Below are 3205 nucleotides of genomic sequence, written 5' to 3'. Positions count from 1 at the left end.
TTCTAATGAGGTGACTCTTCATTGGCTCTTGGCTAGTCTCGGATGGGAGCTGGTCATCAGAAAGAACCAAGACATGATTAGAAACTTGGAACTTTCAGCCCCCCACACCTACCCTATTCCTCCCCAGAGGAAAGAAGGGCTAGAGATGGAGTTAATAATCAATCGTGCCTATGTGATGAACCATCCAAAAAATTCCTAAAACATGGAGTTCTGAGAGCTTCTAAGAAGTCTGGTGAATACATCCATGTGTTGGGAGGGTAATGTGCCCTAATTCCATGGGGACAGAAGCTCCTGTCTCAAGACCCTTCCAATGTTGCCCTAAGTGCCTCTTCACCTGGCTATTCATCTGTATTCTCTATCACATCCTTTATAATAAACAGGTAGATATAAGTGCTTCTCTGAGTTCTGTGAGCCATCATAGCAGATTATCAAACACGAGAAGGAGGTCATCAGAACCCCTGATTTGTAGCCAAGTCAGACAGAAATGTGGGTAACCTAGGGGCCTGCAATTGGTATCTGAAGTAGGGGACAGTCCTATGGTGTTTATGCTAACTCCAGGTAGCTAGAATAATAATTGAATCGGAGCACACCCATTTGGTGTCTAGAGAGTTAGCTAATGTGAGAAAAAATTCACACACAAGTATAGAGGTTACTTTTGAGGAGGATCAGAGATTTGGGGATGTGGTAGCCATGACTATTTCATGAATAGTGTTTTGTAGGTAAGCAATCACCTGATTCTTTTCTACTTTGTCATGTTAGAAGCTAAATTCATTAACTAATTAAGGATTGTAAATAGTGACATTTTATCATTTCTGTATCACTTATTAGCTGGCATACATTTATAAAAACGTTTTGAAGCAGGATATTTCTCTGATTGCTTCACGGAACTAATGACAGGGGTTTCTCGTTTACTCAGCCTGCAGCTTTCAACTCCTTGTGGGAAGGAATGTGCTAGCTAATGAGTTGGGAACTGGAGTGCAGGAATGCTGGAACCTGATGGCCACTTTGGCGCTGGCAGGGGCGAACTTCGCTCACTCAAAACCACTGCATTCCACCCCTCACAGGAGGGAGCATGCAGGTGAGTGGGTGCAGAAGCCAGGGCAAGGGCTTTTGGGTGTCAGCCAGAGAAAATTCCATAGGGCCCTGTGGCAGCATCTGGCGGGGGGTGCCTGTGACCCCTGAAGCCTCAGATGGGGTGTTACAGTGCTCTTTTAGCTCTGCTATTCACAGAGAGCTTAAGTGTTAACCGCTCAGTGGGCCCTCTGTCTTTTCATGCGAAGCAGCTGCCTTCTGCCTGTGAGGGCAAAGGGTCAGTGTGACAGCCTTTTGTATCCACACTCGTGACTCCTGAGCTCTTGTCCAGCATCCAGGAGAAATGAGGTCACATGAACGAATTGAAGGATGGTAAATGTGGGGATTTTATTGCTGATGAAAGTGGCCCTCAGTGGGAAGGGAAGCTGAAAAGGGGACAGGGTGGGAAGGTAATATTTTCCTGAAGTCCAGCCATCTCTGGCTGGATTCTTCACTGAAGTTATGCCATCAAGCCGCTCCTCTCCAATGTCCAGCTGCTTCTCCTTTCTGCTGGCTGAGTCTGGGATTTTTCTCCCCCTACGAGATGGAGTTTTGCTCTTGTTGCCCAGGCTGGAGTGCAATGGTGCATCTCGGCTCACTGCAACCTCCACCCCACCAGGTTCAGGAGATTCTGCTTCCTCAGCCTCCTGAGTAGCTGGTATTACAGGCACGCGCCAACATGTCTGGCTAATTTTTGTATTTTTAGTAAAGATGGAGTTTTGCCACGTTGGCCAGGCTGGTCCTGAACACCTGACCTCAGGTGATCCACCTTCCTCGGCCTCCCAAAATGCTAGGATTACAGGCGTGAGCCACTGCATCTAGACCAAGTCTGGGATTTTTATAGGCACAGGATTGGGGCAGGGTGGGGCCGTGGGTGGTGTTGGAAAAGGCAACATTCAAGCAGGAAAACAGGGATGTAAGTTCTTGCTTTGGGCCATGGTGTCAGGCTTTACAGTTTGAGGGTGGGGCTTCACCAGGGACCTGCCCTTTTCTGCCTAGAATTTCTGCTTCCTCTCCCTATCAGTTTCCCTGTATATTTGGACTCTTTCCCCTTCTTTACCTTTTTTGAAAATAGAAATTTGATTACTTCATGTGCTTTGAAGGTGACTAATCATTTATTTTCAGTGTGAGGAAATATCATTATGAATACATAAATTTAATAATATTTGATGTTTCACTCCACTGTAGTTATTCTTATTGATGCTGAAAATGTTTGTCCACGGTAACTTCTTCATGTTGGCTCTTATGTAGCATTATTCTGGCAAACACATTCTCAAAAAAAAAAAGGCCATAATATTTTAATGACAGTGTCAGAATATTCTGAACATTTAACAATCAGCTGCTATGAGCCTGTGTGTCCTGACTCTAGCACACCACTACTCTTGAGACTTGTCAATGTTACCACTTGTTTCTAGACCCATTCAATAAATATAGCTAGGGAATTTGTTTCTTTTCAAAGATAATCTACATATGAGTTTATACTGGTATTTCCCATTTTAATTCAGGATTCTACTGTTTTCACTTAACTTTATCTTTCATCTGTTTCTCTTTTCTCCCACACAGAAAATCCTAGCTCCCAATGAATCAACATAATTACTCATCTGATTTATCCCACAATTCATGTGTAAAAATCTTAGAATAACAATACCAACACTGTCTGCAACAATGTGGTTACTGAAACATTTTAAGATTTCTTTCTTTTTTTGCTGCAATTCCTTTTGTCTTAGGGCACATACCACTAGGAATATATAATCAACTTATTGTGTTGTAAAGTTGCTTGAACTTGATAAATATTTGCTTTTTATTCAATTTTGCTTTTGCTTCTTAAGAATTTGTTTTAACTTAATTTTGTGTAATAATTATATAAAAATTTCAAAGTCACGTTTATAAAGCAAAGAGTATTCAAGAAGTCAATACCTATCTCTGCTCCTTCCATGCTACTTTTTTCCTTCCCCATAGATAGTATTTTTAATAAAGAGTTTTTGGGTTTTCCTTACATTAAAAATACAAACTAATGTATATATAGTTATATTTATTCCTTTCTTACATGAACTTTACTATGCATGTTTTATTCCATTTTAGTTTTTTACCTTATATATTATGGAGCTCAATCCATTGCATGATATAGAGATAC

At 41.5% G+C, this 3205-nt stretch overlaps 1 annotated feature.

The window, feature by feature from the left end:
• Positions 1088-1589: an enhancer, noted in NCBI's record as "OCT4-NANOG-H3K4me1 hESC enhancer chr4:101907345-101907846 (GRCh37/hg19 assembly coordinates)". NCBI's record gives its function as "activates a minimal SCP1, AML or CMV promoter by ChIP-STARR-seq in naive H9 embryonic stem cells {active_cell/tissue: H9 hESC(naive)}" and the evidence as "EXISTENCE:reporter gene assay evidence [ECO:0000049][PMID:30033119]".

This window comes from Homo sapiens, chromosome 4 (assembly GCF_000001405.40).
Source record: "Homo sapiens chromosome 4, GRCh38.p14 Primary Assembly".
In the NCBI taxonomy this organism is placed as follows: Eukaryota; Metazoa; Chordata; class Mammalia; order Primates; family Hominidae; genus Homo; species Homo sapiens.
The sequence above is the reverse complement of the archived record's forward strand: the minus strand, read 5'-3'. Positions and strand labels throughout refer to the sequence as shown.